The sequence below is a fragment of the Homo sapiens genome, chromosome 8 (assembly GCF_000001405.40).
Source record: "Homo sapiens chromosome 8, GRCh38.p14 Primary Assembly".
Taxonomy (NCBI): Eukaryota; Metazoa; Chordata; class Mammalia; order Primates; family Hominidae; genus Homo; species Homo sapiens.
In genome coordinates, this window is record NC_000008.11 from 130,300,935 (window position 1) to 130,318,837 (window position 17,903).

At 40.2% G+C, this 17,903-nt stretch overlaps 1 protein-coding gene across 22 annotated transcripts in view, besides 2 other annotated features; it reads right to left on the reverse strand.

The window, feature by feature from the left end:
- The window catches only part of ASAP1 (ArfGAP with SH3 domain, ankyrin repeat and PH domain 1), a 391,571-nt gene that overhangs the window by 248,831 nt on the left and 124,837 nt on the right, over window positions 1-17,903 (reverse strand). The window lies entirely within an intron of this gene.
- Window positions 9,851-10,352: an enhancer, noted in NCBI's record as "NANOG hESC enhancer chr8:131323031-131323532 (GRCh37/hg19 assembly coordinates)". NCBI's record gives its function as "activates a minimal SCP1, AML or CMV promoter by ChIP-STARR-seq in naive H9 embryonic stem cells {active_cell/tissue: H9 hESC(naive)}" and the evidence as "EXISTENCE:reporter gene assay evidence [ECO:0000049][PMID:30033119]".
- Window positions 16,488-16,547: an enhancer, noted in NCBI's record as "active region_27985". NCBI's record gives its function as "activates an Ori minimal core promoter by ATAC-STARR-seq in GM12878 lymphoblastoid cells {active_cell/tissue: GM12878}" and the evidence as "EXISTENCE:reporter gene assay evidence [ECO:0000049][PMID:35858748]".

A 17,903-nucleotide genomic window follows, 5' to 3' on the forward strand; every position in this document is an offset into this window, starting at 1 on the left:
AGAGGCCCTCCCTCATTGCCATCCTATGTCTGGAAGGCACATATTGCTATCGCTAAATCAAAACCTAGGCTGACAAAGCCATAATGGGGCTTCTTGGTGGAGAAATTCATTCCCTATGATGCATTTAAGGAGATGATGCCAAAAAGTCCATTAGTTCAGATGGTGTATGGGGACCCAGCATAAGCAGAGGACATGAGAAATAGTACTTTATATTTTATCCAGACTATCCTAAAGATAAGTGGCTGGCATAACCCATTAGGCTACCTTCCCCCACCTCTTAACTATTAAATGACATGTTGTACCAATGCCTGCTCTTTGAGAAAACCTCCTGCTTTCTTTATGTACACTGAACATGGCAGCCTCCTTTATTCCACCCACAAACAAAACAGTGTGTTCTGAGAAACGATGGAAATCCTGAGGTGACTCTAATCCACATACACTGCTGCTCCTTCTGTTACCTAGTAGCATTTTAATGTAAATTGTGTTCTAGAATGCTCTAAAGGCATGGACTTCTGTAGCATGTTGTGTTCTCTGCCTTGTGCTTGGCATATAGCTGCACTCCATATATAGTGGTTGAATGAATGAAAAAAGTCTGCCTATCTGAATAATCATGGCAGTGGTGTTTTTTTCTTGCTCTATTTCTTTATATATTGATTAAATATAAATCACATGTTCACTACCCAAAAAACCCCAATTGTCCTTAAACTCTAGCAACCAGAAATAACTAATGTAACCAGAAATATATCCTACAATATTTCCTTATAGGTACATAAAATGGGATCATCCTTTCTGTGTTGTTTTATATCATGCTGTTTTCCAGTTAATACAACACGACTGTCTTTCCATGTCAACAGATATGCATATGCATTGTTGTTGAGAGTATCTATTCGTAGATTTCATTAATGTTTACCACTAAGGATGTCTCATTCTTTCTGCAATTCTAAGTAAAGCTTGCATACAGGATAATCTTCAAAGAAGTAGAATGACTGGGTCAGAGTTGTAATGAGAAGACTGTAACCTCCACGATGGCAGGGGTGTCCCCAAAATCTAGAGCCCAGAGCCTGCTACTTGGTAAGTACTCAACTACTAATATTCTCTGTGCTTTAAGAGTTAGCATTCCAAAAGGAGAGAAAGACAGGTAAATAGATAATCTGCCTACAGCTATAGTCTAACATTAGGTATAATATCTGCATGCATGCAAAGACTCATACATTCTCTCATTTGCACAAATATTTGAAAAACCATGTACAACTTTTCACCTTAATCAGTAAAAAGGCATTGATTGTCCAGTCTTTTATAAGAAAATTCTTGAAAGATTAAATAAACACAATGGAAACCAGCCAGGGCTGCTAAAAGAATAAATATTTTAGAAGGGGGTGAGTATGTCTATGGTGTGTACTGGAGGTTAAGGGGCTCGTTTTTTCACAGACACAGAAAATGTGGCACTGTGAACAGCTATCTCAAAGGCAGAAAGAGATGAGAGAGAAATGCTAAAAATGAAGAGGCAAAACTCCAAACAAATAAAAATTCTGGCTTTTAAACCAACACGGCCAGCTGTTCTTCATGGCAAACAGGAAGAACAGATAGAGAGGGCAGGCCTCTAATGGGCACTGAAAAGAACAACCAAGTTCTTTATCCAGATCAGCTGCCATCTGCTGGGAGCACTAGATTAATGGCCATAGAAAGAAGGCCAAAGGTGGCAGCCAAGCCCTGGAGAGACACCAGCTGAGGGGGAGGGGCACGTGGGGACATCTCAAGTTTCATTAGCTTCATTAAACAAACGGTTCTCTGGAGAAAAGAGGCTTTTGGTTCTGGGGCTAGGAGGAGCTGAATCACCAGAGGACATGTACCAATGTACCTTTATCTTCTGGTGCAATCACTTCTAAGGGGAGAAAACTATGAAGAAATAAGAACTCCAGAAGACAATCAGATGGAAAGTTCTTCTTCCTGTGGAAAGATCGTGTCTTCTCCTTCTTTGCTGTTTCTACAACATTGTAAGACCTGGTATGTACTCAAGAGAACTGAAATAAAAACAATTACAAGAAATTTAAGTCACCACGGGAAAAAAAAGAGTACTCTGGTTTTTGTTTGGTTAAAAACCAAAGAATCCATACCTAAGGCAGAAGGGAAAACCACAAACACCTGGAGGTGCCTGTGTATGCTGAGCCTGGAGACAGAGGCTCCAGGTCTGAATCCTGGCTTTGGCCATTTACTAGCAGAATGACAGGAAGCATGCTAACATCTTAGACTGTTTCTTCAGCTACAAAATGGAATTTGTATTACACCTTGCTCCTGGGGTTGCTGTAAGGCTGAGATTCTCCAACTATTCTAGCACAGCAAAACTATAAGTGTATGCCTAAAATACTTTCTTTATACTATTTAAGATATATTTAGACTAGGGCTTTCTCAACCTCAAGCATTACTGATATTCTGAACTGGATGACTCTTTGTTGCGGGGGTCTCCTGTGTACTGCAGGGTGTTTAGTAGCATCTTTGCCCTCTGTCAACTAATTGCCAGTATCCCCTCTACCACTTAGTTGGTGACCAAAAAATGTTTCCAGAGAAGTAATCAAGATGTCCTTCATTACCTGAAAGGATAAACAAACTGTAGTGCTTCTGGACAATGGAATATTATTTTTATATTATTATATAAAAAGAAATGACCTATCAAGCTGGGAAAAGACATGGAGGAACCTTAAATGCGTACTGCTAAGTGAAAAAAGTCAATCTGAAAAGGCTACATACTTTACTTTATGACTCTGACTATATGACATTCTGAAAAAGGCAAAACTATGTAGACAGCAAAAAGATCAGTGGTTGCCAGGGGTTTAGGATGAGGGAAGGAGAGACGACTAGGTGGACCACAGGAGATTTTTAGTGCTGCTAAAACTACTCTGATACAGTAACAGAGGATACATATCATCGCACATTTGTCAAATCCCTAGAATGTACAACATAGAGTGAACTACACTATGAACTTACATTAGTGTGGCACCCTTGTCATGGTTAATGAATCAGTATCAATACATTATTATTAACTAATGTAAGATGTTATTACCTAATTATTAACTAATGGAAGATGTTAACAATAGGGAAAACCACAGTGGCAATGGTAGCAAAATGAGACGGTACATAAGAACTCTGGACTTTTGGCTCGATTTTTCTGTAAATTTAAAACTGCTCTTTAAAAAAAAACTCTACAAATTGAATCATTCCATCTCCACTGAGAAACATGGATTAATGGAGTAGTCTTTTTTGCCTTTTTGGCTTAAAAAAAGAAACGGCTCCTAGATCTTATGTTAGAACTGATTATATATTATTTTTTTATACTGCCCGGAAAAGAACGCCTTGTATATTTTATGTTTCTGTTCCAGTTCTAAGTAGATATGAACACCTAATATCCAAAGAGTCATCTTTGAAAGTCTGACACATTCACCCTAAAAAAAGGAACATCATTTCCCCCCTCAATTGTTCTCTAAGTCTTCTATTGTAATACTAATATATTGAAAGAATAAAGATAAAAACAGTTTTAACCTATGAACCTGGTCAAGTCTAGCAGAGGCTCAAAGCCAACCTTCACGCATCTGCACTCCCTGAAACACGCTGTCCAATTTACGTTTACACAACCAATAGTCTTCTATGCATCTGCCCACCCCAGTGACAGTGGTTGTATGTGACAATCTCATGTTTAATTTCAACCTTGTTCAAATGTGTGATGTTTTCAATTTTACACAGGAAGTACATCACCAACTAAATGATGATCTCACCTAAACTACTTACTTCAACAGCCTCTTAACTGGGCACCCTCTTTCCACCTCATACTCTCACAATCTATTTTCCAGAGCAGCCAGAGGGATCCGTTTTAAGTGTAAATATGGTAATTCAGTGCTGCTTGTCTTTCTCAAAATTACAAAACAAAACAAACAAATGGAAAACCCAAAACAACAAAACTCCAAAGACTCCCTATTATTTAGAGTAAAAGCCAAAGTCTTGACAGCAGTCAGCAGGCCATGCATAATCTGGCTCCTGCCACCTTTCCAACCTCTTCTTCCTCACACGCTCTACACCTTGGCCACATGACCTCCTTTTGTTGTTTCGTGAATGTGTCAGGCATGAACCTACCTGAGGACCTTCGTGCTGTCGGACCCCCACAGCTAAACTCCATCACAACTTAAGTTTGCTCATGAAGTCTCCCCTCCTGCTACCACACTGCCCAACAATCATTCTCTCTTGTATCTCCTCTCTTTTTGTCTTCATAGCACCTACTGACACCTAACATACTGTTTATTTCTTGACTGCCTGTCCCCACTAAAAAACAAATTCAATGCACATACTTCTTAGTCTCTTTCTCATTGTTCTATCCATAGTGCTTAGACAATTCCTGCCACATTGTAGGTACTCAATTAATGAAAGATTCGTTCACTGTTTTTGGAACGGACTCTTGCTCTGTTGCCCAGGCTGGAGTCCAGTGGTGCGATCTCGGCTCACCGCAAGCTTCAGCTCACCACAACCTCCGCCTCCCGGGTTCAAGCGATTCTCTTGCCTCAGCCTCCTAAGTAGCTGGGATTACAGGCGCCCACCACCATGTCTGGCTAATTTTTGTATTTTTAGTAGAGGGGGTGTTTCACCATGTTGGCCAGGCTGGTCAGGTTCTGGTCAGAACTCCTGATCTCAGGTGATCCTCCTCCCTCGGCCTCCCAAAGTGCTGAGATTACAGGCATGAGCTACCACTCCCAGCCTATTCATTCATTTTTATATCCATCACTTAACCATCTCCATTTTATAAATCGAGAAAACTAAAGACCAGATCAGTTACACTAGCCTTAAGTCAGAAATAGAAAGTGATCTGACCCTTAAGCAACTCCAAAACTGGACCACTCAAATGGACTTTACTACCAGCTGTTTCACTGGCACCCCCTCAAGGCTCTAAGAGAGGTATCTTAAGGATTAGTGCCAAGAACTTCACATCACTATTTAAGCTCTTAGGTTAGATCTCCTTACTCCTATTCATCACTTCTTCCCCCAGACAATATTCACTCAATGTCCCTTACTTACAGTTCCAACATCATCAGGGCAAGTCATGACTTGTTATGATTAACTAGGATTCTGGGATCATAAAGTCCTCAGTCCAAATTTATTCAGCCACCAACTATGAGACCTTCAGCAAGAAGGTTAACTAGTTAAGCCATAAATTTTTCATATAAAGAATGGTGATAGTAATACTAACCTCACGGGTTTCTTAGAGAGATTCAGGGAAAATTATGTATAGAAACACCTTGATACTGCAGGCAATCTAGCAGAGTAGGCACTTAGAAGGTGTTACCTTTCACTACAAGTATTATCATTTAGCAAGTCATTCACTCACTCAAATATTTCCTGACTTCTATTTAGCAAGTCACTGTAAATGCACATAAGTGACTTCTTTCCAGTCACTTGGATTAATAGCTCCTTTTTAAATGTCCCTCTCCCCACACTGACAACCCCTTTAGTCTTTGATAAATGTTTTTTTAAAGCCACAAAATCAATTCAAAGGCAAAGAGAATACCTTATCCATTGACATTAACATAAAGCCCCCAAGGATCCACATGATCAATTGGTCAAAGGTCTAAGTAGAGCTGGTTCTTTGTTTCCTCTCAAACTTTTTACTGGAGAGACTAAGGGACAGATGTTAATAACCTTAGGGCACAAGCGGAACAAACTCAGCTCTCTGCATAAGGTTAAATTAGCAGATGTAAGGATGAAAGGAGCTAGGAAGCCATTTCATTCATATATTTAGGGTAAACTTTAAGTAAATACCAATGGACCACATAAATTCTTCAGCTATACTCACAATGCTCGGACCATGTAACTTAACATGTATTTGTATTCCCCATCTCTCTGTCTTATCTCTATGGTGCTTTTCTCCTCCAATTAAAAATTTAAGTATTTCAGGCCAGAGACCTCAGAGCCTAACAAACTAGAAACATGTTTCCTTCACTCCACCCAGGTCTGAGTGTCTGTACTAGCTCCCTCAGTATGGAGCACTTGTGCCTGGCCAACTCTTCTCATTCTGGCTCCTTCTGACATCTCAGGATGCAGCTCAAATATAATTTCCTTAAAGAGATACCTCTGGGCAATCCTTACTAAGTTTTTTCCACCCTCGCTCTATCAAGTCACCCTATTTGTGTTCTCCATAAAAGTTATCAGTACCTGAACTTAATTTTACATTTTTTTGCTTTATCTGTCTCCCTCTACAATGTACCCTCTATGAAGAAGGGAATTCTGTCTGTGCTTTTTCCATTGCTGTAATCCCCAACACCCAGAACAATTACTATAAAACAGTAAGTGCTCCATTTGATATTTCTTGAATAAGTGAATATAATTAAGTATTCAGGAAATAATATTTAACTATAAGTCACAGATTTTTATCTGATCCTGTGGCAAAAAATAAAGAGGGACTCAAAATGGGAACTGTTAATCTATAATATGTACAACCTATGGCAAGGGGCCCACAGATTTAGGTCTAAGCCACGCCAAGTAGACTAGGGATGGTTGTTCCTCCTCCAGTGATTCAAATGGGTCTAGCAATCCAGAGCAAAGTGGTAAAATTTTACCTGCCACCTGCCTCTAGTTTTTCTCTTACTTTTTTCTCCCCAACACCCAACAGGTAACCACCTTTCTATGAGAGAAAGATACACATCATCTGCATAGTGCTGGACAATTTAAATGTTTCCCTTCCACCTCTCAAGTGATCATCTAACAGCTTGGTGAGGTAGGAGTAACAGCGATAAGCACCTCCATTTCCCAATTCCCACGCTCTAATTTGCCAATGAGAAAACCAAAAGCCTGCGGAAAGTCAAAACACTAGTCCAAAGTCACAAAGGAGTAACCGGTGATGGCGGAGCTTGAAATCAGGAATTTCTGGCTCCAAATTTCTTACTCCTTCTACTATGGTTAAGTTGCCTTTCCTAATATATAAAATGGATTTTTAACTTTAGTGTTAAAATACACTTGAGAGAAATAATGTTTGCACAGCCTCAGCAAGCAGCTTCCTTCCTCAAAAGTTGTCTCCATTTCCTGACATAGAATTAATTTAGGAAATGCTTACATTTTAAAACCCATAGTCAATTTGCTTCTAGCAAAACATTCTTGAATTTATAATGTTATCACAAGCTCCTTCAATTATTATAGAAATATTTTAAATGCACATAACTATCCATCTTAGTGATAAATTTTATAAGTTATGACTTCAAAAGTCTACTCCAAACTTAGATTCTATAAGCTAAGATTTTCACAGTTGTCCAATTCAAAATATACTTGAGTGTTTTCTCCCACTGGATTATAAAAATAAGATTCTCAACTCCAAACTCGAAAATAACCCAACCCCATGTTATGATCAAAATAAGAAACCTGAATACAGGCAGACAGGGGTGAACTACTCAATATATAAAATTTAAATCAAACAGACTAAAATCAAGTTGTACATTTTTTATTCTGTATGTATGTCTGTATACAAAAATAATTCAGTCCTTTAGAATAAGATACGGATGTTCTTTTTAAAATAATTGTAGTATCTTAAGCAAAAATTGAGTAAGTGTAACTAAGATCTTTTGATAAAACAATAGTTTATAGTCAAATTAACATTAGCATCAAGGAAGAAAGCAATTAACATTAGCATCAGGAAGGGAATCCCAAACATGGAGAATCCGGAAATCATTTTTAAAGTTTTTTCAACAATAGATTTAATTTTTCAACATCTATATTTTTGACAGACATAAAACATAATTTCAACTCCCTCAGTACATATCAACTAATAAGAAATGGGCCTGTAGAATGATGATGAAGAGGCAAGGCATGGTGGCTTACACCTGTAATCCCACCACTTTGGGAGGCCGAGGCAGGTGGGTCATTTGAGGTCATGAGTTCAAGACCAGCCTGGCCAACATGGTAAAACCTGGTCTCTACTAAAAATACAAAAATTAGCTGGGCACGGTGGTGTGCGCCTCAAAAAAAAGAATGACAATGAAGAGTCTACAACTATCACGGGCAGTTGAGGGAAAGGGAGCCAGTTGGTATTTTAAATTTGCCTGATGCTCCACACCACAAATGACTTACACGCATAATAAAAGAGGTGAGAGTTGACCAGGGTAGCCTTAGATTTTCAGTACTTCACCAAACATGTCCTGAAGCACCTATCCATCAAAGAGTGGGCTAGGCAGGGGGATTATCCATTTGATAATATCTGGAGTGCCTACTATTTTAAAAAGCACAATGCTTGCTTTGGGGCATAGTCCCTTTTTACGAAATTCAGTCTTGGGAGTCAAATGGTGGACACAGAGAGACAGGTGAGCAATTAATTTCAACAGAATGAATAAGTACTAAGACAGAGGTACACAATTTCCTATAAAACAACAGAGGAGAAAAACTAACTCATCCTGACTAACAGAGAGGTGATGGGTGGCAAGGTATCAGAGAAGACTTTGGGTGCTATGACACTTAGACTAAGTCCTCAACAATGGGCAGAATCAATGAGATGAACAAGTAGATAGCTGGGCTGACATGAATGGACACATCATAAGATGAGGCACGGTATGCAACTGCTGCTGCAGATGAGGCAAGATAAGCAGTGAGGCAAGACAGAGGCGTGACCAGGACGGCCTTGTGGGCTGCACCACCACATGCGGCTCTCACCACAGAAGCAAAGGGCAGCCACCGAGGAGTGCTATGCAGAGGGTAGCACAAAGAAGACAGTTCTGATATTGAGATGCATTTGGAATTTCCTGATATTTCATTCATGGCTAGGGGAAAATGAGAAAACTCAATGCAAACAGAGATTGGCTCTAAAGGAAGAACAGATTTTGGTTCCTCTAAAACTGGACTTTTAATCACAAGCTGTACTGCCAGGTGAACTCCCAACCATGTCCACAAAAATCAAAGACTGACCAAGCAAATTTCCTAGGTTTAGTTGAAAATCTGTCAAAATCCAGAACTCAGCATGAGTCTTTAGACATATTTTTATGATGTTAACACTATGGTAATTTCAGTAATAGCAGACAATAAAAAAACAGAGGCTCTTTTCTAAATCGTAATATCCCAATCGTCCAGTTTCTATAGTAGAAATTCCCAGTTCTACCATACATTAACCATACCGACCTGGCATACTTGCCTATGATTTCTTTGTCTCAGCTTCCTCATCTACAAAATGGGGCTAATACAGTTTTTTTTGGGGGGGGGAGGGGGGTGAGGGGAGGGGAGGAGATAAAGATAGAGGGATTAAATGGTAGAACAAATATGAAAGAGCTTTATAATTCTCTACAAATAATAGAAATAACCATTGTTATGGGCTCAGACAACAGAATTATGAAGTAGAAAATTATGAGGAAGAAGTAGCTTCAATGCATTAATTAAAATTAAAAGGACTGTTTTAACTAAGTGATAAGTTAGCCAAGACCACTTATTTTTAACAGCATAAAACCACCTATCAACCTCTCCTTGACCCCAGGAGTCATCAAGCAAATACTCGGAAAGATAGGGGTGAAGAGTCTAAACTTCATGGTGATAGATGTGTCATGAAGTGAATTAAACCACAAAGGCAATTAAGTCATAAAAGCAACAGCAGTGATAGTAACTAGACAGAAGGCTCAGAGGATCATCCCTGAAAAGATTTCATTAACTAAACCACAAAGTCCTGCTGAAAAACATATCAGCAATCTAGTTAAAAATGGGTCACACTATTTATAGAGTCAATCACCAAATCACATATTCTCTAGTTAAAAAAAAAAAAAGTCTGAAAACTTTATTGAGCAAGCATGTTAAACAGTACTACTTCATGCCCACCAAAGGAAATAGTCTTTAAATTCTGCCCAAACTTGACAGAAAATTTTCTGAATGGGCTCAATGCAGGAACAATTCCATTTCCCTATATATTTGAGCTTTACTATAAATAAACAAGCTTAACATGATGCCAACATAATGTTTAAGTTACACTTTGAGAACCCACTGTACAAGTTTGGGACTCAAGACCAACCTGGGCCAGTATCTACTAAGGCGGCAGTGTTTCTCTGATGAAGCTCCTCTTTAGCTCTATTGTGAAGGAGGCTTTATTTGTTAGGCTCAGCAAGGGCTCCCACAGTGGGGAGGACAGCCATTCTATGAGAACGCAGTCCAGGGCAGGTTGTCAGAAATGTGTGCAAAAGGAACAAATTGCAGGCCTGGAAAATGAAGCACATTTGCTGTTCTGACTACAAGTGACAAGTGCAATGCACCAAAATGCCATCTGTAGTTATCTGAGTGGTGGAATCATGGGTCATTTTAAAATTCTCTTCTCTGTATTTTGCTCAATTTTCAAGTTTTCCCCAATGGCCATATTTTATAAAACTAAGAAAAGGTATCCAAATAGGTGGTAATTTTGAAAAGTAGAGAAATTTACGTCTAAAATAACAATAGCCTATGCTGTCTCATAGAGACAATCTCTACTGGCATTGTATTCTATCTTTTCCTAGTCTTTTTTCAGTGCACATGCATCTTTTTCACTCGTTAAGCCAGTACTTAAAAAGGGCAAAATAGGGTCCAGTGTGGTGGCTCACGCCTGTAATCCCAGCACTTTGGGAGGCCAAGGCGGGAGGATCACCTGAGGTTGGAAGTTCGAGACAAGCCTGACCAGCATGGAGAAACCCTGTCTCTACTAAAAATACAAAATTAGCTGGGCATGGTGGCACATGCCTGTAATCCCAGCTACTCGGGAGGCTGAGGCAAGAGAATCGCTTGAACCCGGGAGGCGGAGGTTGCAGTGAACCGAGATCGCGCCACTGCACTCCAGCCTGGGCAACAAGAGCGAAACTCCGTCTCAAAAAAAAAAAAAAGGCAAAATAAGTGATATAGGTTACTTATAATTATAGAAAGCAAAGATTTTAGGCTAAATAATAATAGTATGTCAAGCTAGATGGTTAAAAATCTACTTTTAAGTAAACAAAAACAACTCAAAAAAAAATAGTAATTTGAATACGATCCATAATGATTTATTAATTGTACTCCTTCTAAATGAGAAGATCCGAATTCAGCCTAGAACATGTAGGTGCAAATATACTCTTGTTCACCTCATTAAATTCTAAATGAACACCAACCACTGTAAATATGTGGATCACTTGAGCCCAGGAGTTCAAAACCAGCCTGGATAACATAGCAAGACCCAGTCTCTCCAAAAAAAATACAAAAATTAGCTGGGTGTGGTGGTGTGCTCCTGTAGTCTCATCTATCAAGAAACTGAGGTGGGAGAATCACTTGAGCCTGGGAGGTCGACGCTGTAGTGAGCTGTGATCACGCCACTGCCCTCCAGCCTGGGTGACAGAGTAGGACCCTGTCTTTAAAAAAAAAAAAAAAAAGTACCATGCCTAAAAGAGCTGGCTACCATCCACCATCCCTGCAGCTGAACCCCTGGCCTTGAGCACTGATGGCACCTTTGAAAGGGAGCTTGAACACAAACCAGACGAGAGCTAAATCTAACACACTTAAGCAAAATACAATATCACTAAAAGGAGGGGAAAAAAAACCCATTAGGAATTCTGGTTTTAAAAAAAATACTGCAACCCGTAGCAACTCCAGGGGGCCTTCTCTCCCTTTTGATAGTGAATGTCCTCTGCATTAGGGACATTTCCAGGCCCAAGGCATACACAGGCATTATCTCACTGAACCAACCATTACAGGTGGGTACTATTATAATTTCTATTTATAGGTAAGGAAAACAAGGCTAAAGGAAATTAAATCAAGATAGCACAACTTTTATGTTCCAATGTGGGGATCTGAACTGATCTTTCTGATTCTAAAGCCCATGTTCAACCACTGTAGTAACAAAGCCTAGCACAGAAATTTTCCCCCCTAGAAATAGTTGCTTAGCTTGTTCTACCATTTAGTCATACCCTAGCATTCTGGATTTGGTTTTGCCAATGTGATTTTCAACCAAACAAGATGAGGGAATAAGCACGTGAGAAAGACATCAAATGAAGGCCAAAAGGTGTCCCCTCATCTACAACTGATCCAATGACAGCAGAGTGACAGCTCATTAAATTAAAAAATGACTTGGCAAATGAAAGCAATCATAGCATGCACATACCTGTTCATGAAAGAACACAAGTGAACTGTTGGGTTTTTAATACTTTAGGTTTTCATGGAAGAATCATAAGTACATTTTCACATAACCAAGTGCTTATGTTCTCCTAGTTTAGTTTCTGAGAACAAATGGAAGGAGGTGGTGGATGGGCTGAACAATGGGGCAAATGAAATATACTGATAAGCAAAAATCCCTAAAGCCTGCAGATAATTTCTAAGCAATTCTGGTGGGTCCCTAAAATAAAACATATCCTCTGCCTTCAACAAAATAAAATAACATAACCGTTTAAAAAAAAAAAAAACTTTTAAAAGGTCCACTTCTTTTCCTCATCTTTGCAGCTCTCACTCTCAATGAGATCACGTATAAATTGAGTCCTCCTTCCAAATCTCTTACCTTAGAAAGGAAACTGCTATTTTGCTGTGCAATAATAGGTCAGAGAAGAAAACTGTTTTAAATAATGCCTTCATGCAAATTTACTGTAGGGTTATCTGCCGAGTAACAGACTACCCTTGTGGGATTCTCAAATTACAGTTATATTGCCCAACTAGGGGAGCTGCAGTTTGAAAATGAGAAACTTCTTTTGGCAGTGGAACACATAATCAACGTCCTCACAGAAAAGCAGACGTTTCAGCTACAGAAAATAAAAAATAAAATTAAATTAACTTCACTGCCTAAAACCATCAGCCCCAGGATATTCAAAAATCTTATGAATTTTTATCTCAGACATGATCCACATTCTGCATGAACTAAAAAACTCATGACTTTATACTATCAGTTCTGATATTTTAACAGTCTTTACTGGGGGAAAGGGAATGAATCCCCCAGTGTAAAGCAGCAGCCTGTCTGCAGTCAATGCCACTGCACTCGACACCACGTCCCATGCTCTTCTCCTCTCCCCACTTCAGCTCAGCCCTGCAGACTGCTGGCTTCCCTCACACACAATTTGCTGCAGTCCACCCCTAGGCTGGCAAGCAGCCCACCAATCACTCAGTGTGACAGGAAGTCAATCTGAATATAGAAGTACTGCATGTAAATGGACATTATAAATGAAAGTCTAGAATGCGTCACCTTCAATTTGGTCAGAAAAGGCCATTTTTAAGAAAACAATCATGCAAGGCTCTCACTTGGGGTCAAAAAGGTAAGCTTCCTCCCCCCACTTACACCCCACATATTAATTCTACTGGAGGGGCAACAACTTTCATACTGTGACATCCCTGACTTTATTTTTTAACCTTCATACCACTTTTTATGATGCTCTCAAAACATATTGAAATGATGAGGAGGAGGAAGAAAAGGGTGGAACATTTGTTAAGCACCAGCTGTATTGCTAGGCATGGCACTGAGCTCCTTTTATACAGCAGTTTATTTAATCTTGAAACATTACAAAGTGGGTATCATCATGCCCATGTTACAGATGAGAGGGAACTGAGGTTTGCAGAGGTAACAAATTGTCCAAAAACTACCTGTTTCTACCCCAATTTCACAATGAGGAGTTGAAGGCCCAGAAATACTAAGTGCTGTATCAAGGATAACAGAGTTAATACCCACACTAGGAAACACAGATTGCCAGGCCTGTTCAGTACCAATGCCTGGGCAGGCTTTCCAAACCACAGCATGCTGCGCTTCCCAGTGGCACCTGCAAGGTGGGGACCTGCAAAAACGTGCTTCACAGGGTCAGGATGGAACTGCTGTGGCATCTACATGCTCTAACTGGTGCAAACGAAAGGGAGCTAAGCCACAGATACTAAACATTAAACAATCCAAGACTGGTTTAGATGTGGTCGGGATGTGCAGACAACTACTTCAGCCACAGCAGACTGACCACTTTAATTAGATCTTGTTCAGGCCAATAATTAACATTCATTTGCTTACTCTGAACTTCTGAACTTTAAGAGAGAGAGAGAAAAAGTGGGTTCCAACCCCAGGTCTTCCACAAGTTAGCTGGGTGACCTTTCTGAATTTCGGTTACCGATTTGTAAATAAGTAACAACTACTGTCTGCTCCCGTCACAATTTTACTATGACAATTAGTGGAGAAAATGTGACAAGAGCCTCTATTAAACCACAAAACACTACAGCAACAGAAATAATAATACATATCAAAAAGTAAAAACAAGCAAAAAATACTACATATCAATTGGGCAGGGAGAGTTCACAAGGAAAATAGTAGGCAGTCCCAAATCATGGTGGTGGCATGGGAGGGGATCATTCTAGGATTTACAAAAAGAAGAAGAAACAAAACCAAAAAAAGTCTATGAATACTCCACAAACTGGTACATTCTTTGTATATAACCAAGAGAGATCATATAACATAATGATCATGCCCTGTCAGGGATGAGAGTTGAGATCCAGAAAGAGAAAAATGAAACTGGGTCCCAGGAAATAAGAGCTAGGAACAGGGGGTCTAAGGCAGGGGTAAGTCTCAAAACCAGGACTATCCACTAATAATGTTCAGAATTGCAACAAATAGGAAGAAAAACCCTACACATTGAGCAGAGCATAAGGAAGAGGCTCCTCTTCCTTTCTCTAAGGAGAAGAGGCGAGTCTGAATTAGGCTGAGCCAAGAAATAGACCACTTGTTGCTTCCCAGCTGTGCTCCCATGAGGTGTCTGGAGTGCCTCCATTAGCAGGGTCCCCTGCTTCCCAAGTTCAATGACAGATATGCCCCCTAGCAATATCTGGTCTACCCAGCTGCAATTTTAAATGGAATGACTATTACAGTGTATGGCGTACAGAGGAAATTGGAAAATGCAAAAGAAAAAAAGCAACACTGAGCACCCAAACCAATTCACAACACTTCTGCCCATCCATCATTCCCATTCTCCCTAACTTCCAAGTGCTAGCTTCCTTTTTTCTTGGTAATACAGCTACTAGCCTAGGCCTAGATATAAATCCCACTTATCTACTCCCTCTACCTGGTTTCATGGCTCATCTTCCCACTGGCATTGGCCACTCCCTTCGCCTGTGCCCTTCGGGTCCCTTCTCTGCAGAGGACCAACTCATCATCTATTCCATGGCTAGGAGAGAAAAGCACTTCCGTCTTTTCAGCTTAAAAGGTATTCCCTTTCCTCAAGACCTATTCTCAAAGAATGCTGTCCCTTTTCTACTGTCTGTTCCCATCCACAAGTTCACCTGTGACCACTATTATGCCATCTTCATACCAGTCTCCTCTTCTGAGGGCTATGCCAACCATCTTTCTCTACTGAGCTCCAGGACACTAATACTTCAATAACTTTTCCATCTAATCACAATTCTTTCTACTGCAACATCACTCTCAGCAGTTTTGGTATCCATATTGGTAAACATCAACTTCTCCACCTCCTCACTTCACTAAGCTTTATCTCTTTTCTACTCCAAGTATTCCTGATGTGGCCTTGTGACAGACACTGCTGATGTGCTGCCCCAACATCCATTCTCCCCATCTCCTTAGTACTAGAATCCTGGTTTTTACCAGAATATTTTGAAAATACAAGTTTCCATTTCCTAGCCTCTCTTACAGTCAAATGTGGTCAATAAATACTAGTGTTATTTATATGGGTTCTGGAAAAGAAGTGGCTCAGCTGGGAAAGCCCAATTTTGCCCTTCCATTTTAGATTCTCCATCTCAGAAATGACAGCTGGAGCTCTGGCAGCAATCTTAAGCTGAGAGGTGACCTTGAGGATGGAAGTCATGTGCTGAGGAAGGTGAGATCAAAAGGAAGGAGGCCTGAATCCCAAAGGACGCCACAAACCTGGCATTCCAGGCCTATGTCTAAGTTCCTTTTAGAGGAGAGAGAAATAAACTATCGCATTTAAGCTTCTGTTTATTTGGGATTTTCCCCCTGTAATATGCAGCTCAATGTAAATAATTAATACTGGCCAAAGATCAACTAATGGCAAATAACAAAATGCGGTGCAGGCTCTCCAACACGACAACTCATTAAGAAGAGTCTAAAGTGACTTGAAGGCCAATGTTTCTTAACCTTATGTCAGTACAGGCTATGCTGTTGAATGTTCCAGGCCCTACTATCATTTGGTACATTATACACCTTGAGACTCATTCCTATTTTGCTTTTAGTTTCACATCATGCTTTTTTTTTTTTTTTAATCTCTACAGCTGTCTATAACAAAACTTTTTAGGAAAGTACCACAAATATGTTAAACAGAAGAAGCAAATCTCAAATAATGTGCAAAAGCTGTGAGTTTCTTCTTACATAAAACTGGTACCTAAGCAAGTGAGGGTTCATTTTATTTTTCACTCACCAATCCCCATATCATTATACAGTAACACCATACAGCCAAAACGGCCATGATATTCCTCCCTTCTCAGCCAAAATTGGGCAAGAGAGAATGACCCTTGTAGGGGAAAAGAAACCTCTACGATAAACTGAAATGCCACCATCAGGGTTTGTTGAAACTGTAGGAACAGGGTCTACGACTCACTTAGCTGCTAATGAGTTTCTATGATTCCAGATGGAGTAGTTCAAAGTAAGAAGTGAAGGGGCTGGACCTGTCTGTGAATCAGAATGAGCCCACGTCCTCCAGGAAGGTTTTTTATAGCCTCCTCTCCCAAATGGAAAAGCCAAATCCATCACTGATGCTTCCATCAGAACCTGTAGAGGTACTATCATAACACCTTCCACACAGTTTAGTGCACTTAACCTGGAAACCAGTTACCTCCATTGTGAGCTTTGAGGCCTGGGGCTCTGTTGCTACGCGTTTGTTTCACTAGTGCTAAGAGTGGAATGTAGCAGATGTTCAGCACATGATTGCTGAGTAAAAGCCATCCTTTGTGGCTGAAGTGATGAACATGGCATGGCAGGCCCTTTCCTCAAACAACTAATGAGCTGAGACCTGATACAGCAGCAAGAAGGACCCTATAATCCTGAGGAGGAGGGAGTGGAGAGGAGAGCTGAGGAAGGGCTGGTGAAGAAATGGTTGCTGCACCATTAGTCACTTTTACCAAAATAGCTAAAACAAGGAACAGGAAACTATTAGCAAATGGACGTGCAGAAAGCATCCACTGATAGAGAGTTTTTATGACAAGACAAAAAGGAATAGCACTTGTTTGATGGAATCCATGGACCAGATGTTGTTTTTTATTTTTATTCTTTCCTGAGAGAGGGTCTCACTGTAACATAGTGATGCAGTCACAGCTCATTGTAGCCTTGACCGCCCAGGCTCAAGTAATCCTCCCACCTCAGCCCCCCAAGTGGCTGGGGTTACAGGCACATACCACCATACCCAGCTCATTTTTTATTCTTTTGTAGAGACAGGGTTTCACTATGTTGCCCAGGCTGGTTTCAAATTCCTGGCTTCAAGTGATCCTCCTGCCTTGGCCTCCCAAAGTGTTGGGATTACAGGCATTAGCCACCATACCCAGCCCAGTGTTTTTATGATGAGGTGCATTAGCTGTGCCATGGAGTTAGACAGAGCTACAAGGAGGAGAACTACTATTGGCAAGCACTACTATGTGCCAGATACCATACCAGACATTTTCACGAACATCTCCTTTCATTTTCATAGCAACACAATGAGTCGGCAGGTGAAACAGCCTAGCTAAGGGCAAATGACACAGCGAATTAAAACATTTACTGTTCACTCTGCCAGCTCTCTGCATTTTTAACAGGCCATCCTGGTTAATCCCCCTCATAGCCAGTGAAGTGGTATTATCACCTCCTTTTACAGTTAGGTCCCTTTCCCAAGGCCTTAAAACTACTACGTGATAGAGTTGGGGTTCAGTCCATGTTCATCTAACTTCAAATATAGACTAGACACTTAAAAAAGCGTTTCCCCTCATCTCAGAAATAAGACATTGTCAGTGGAAATGTCAAATGGAGT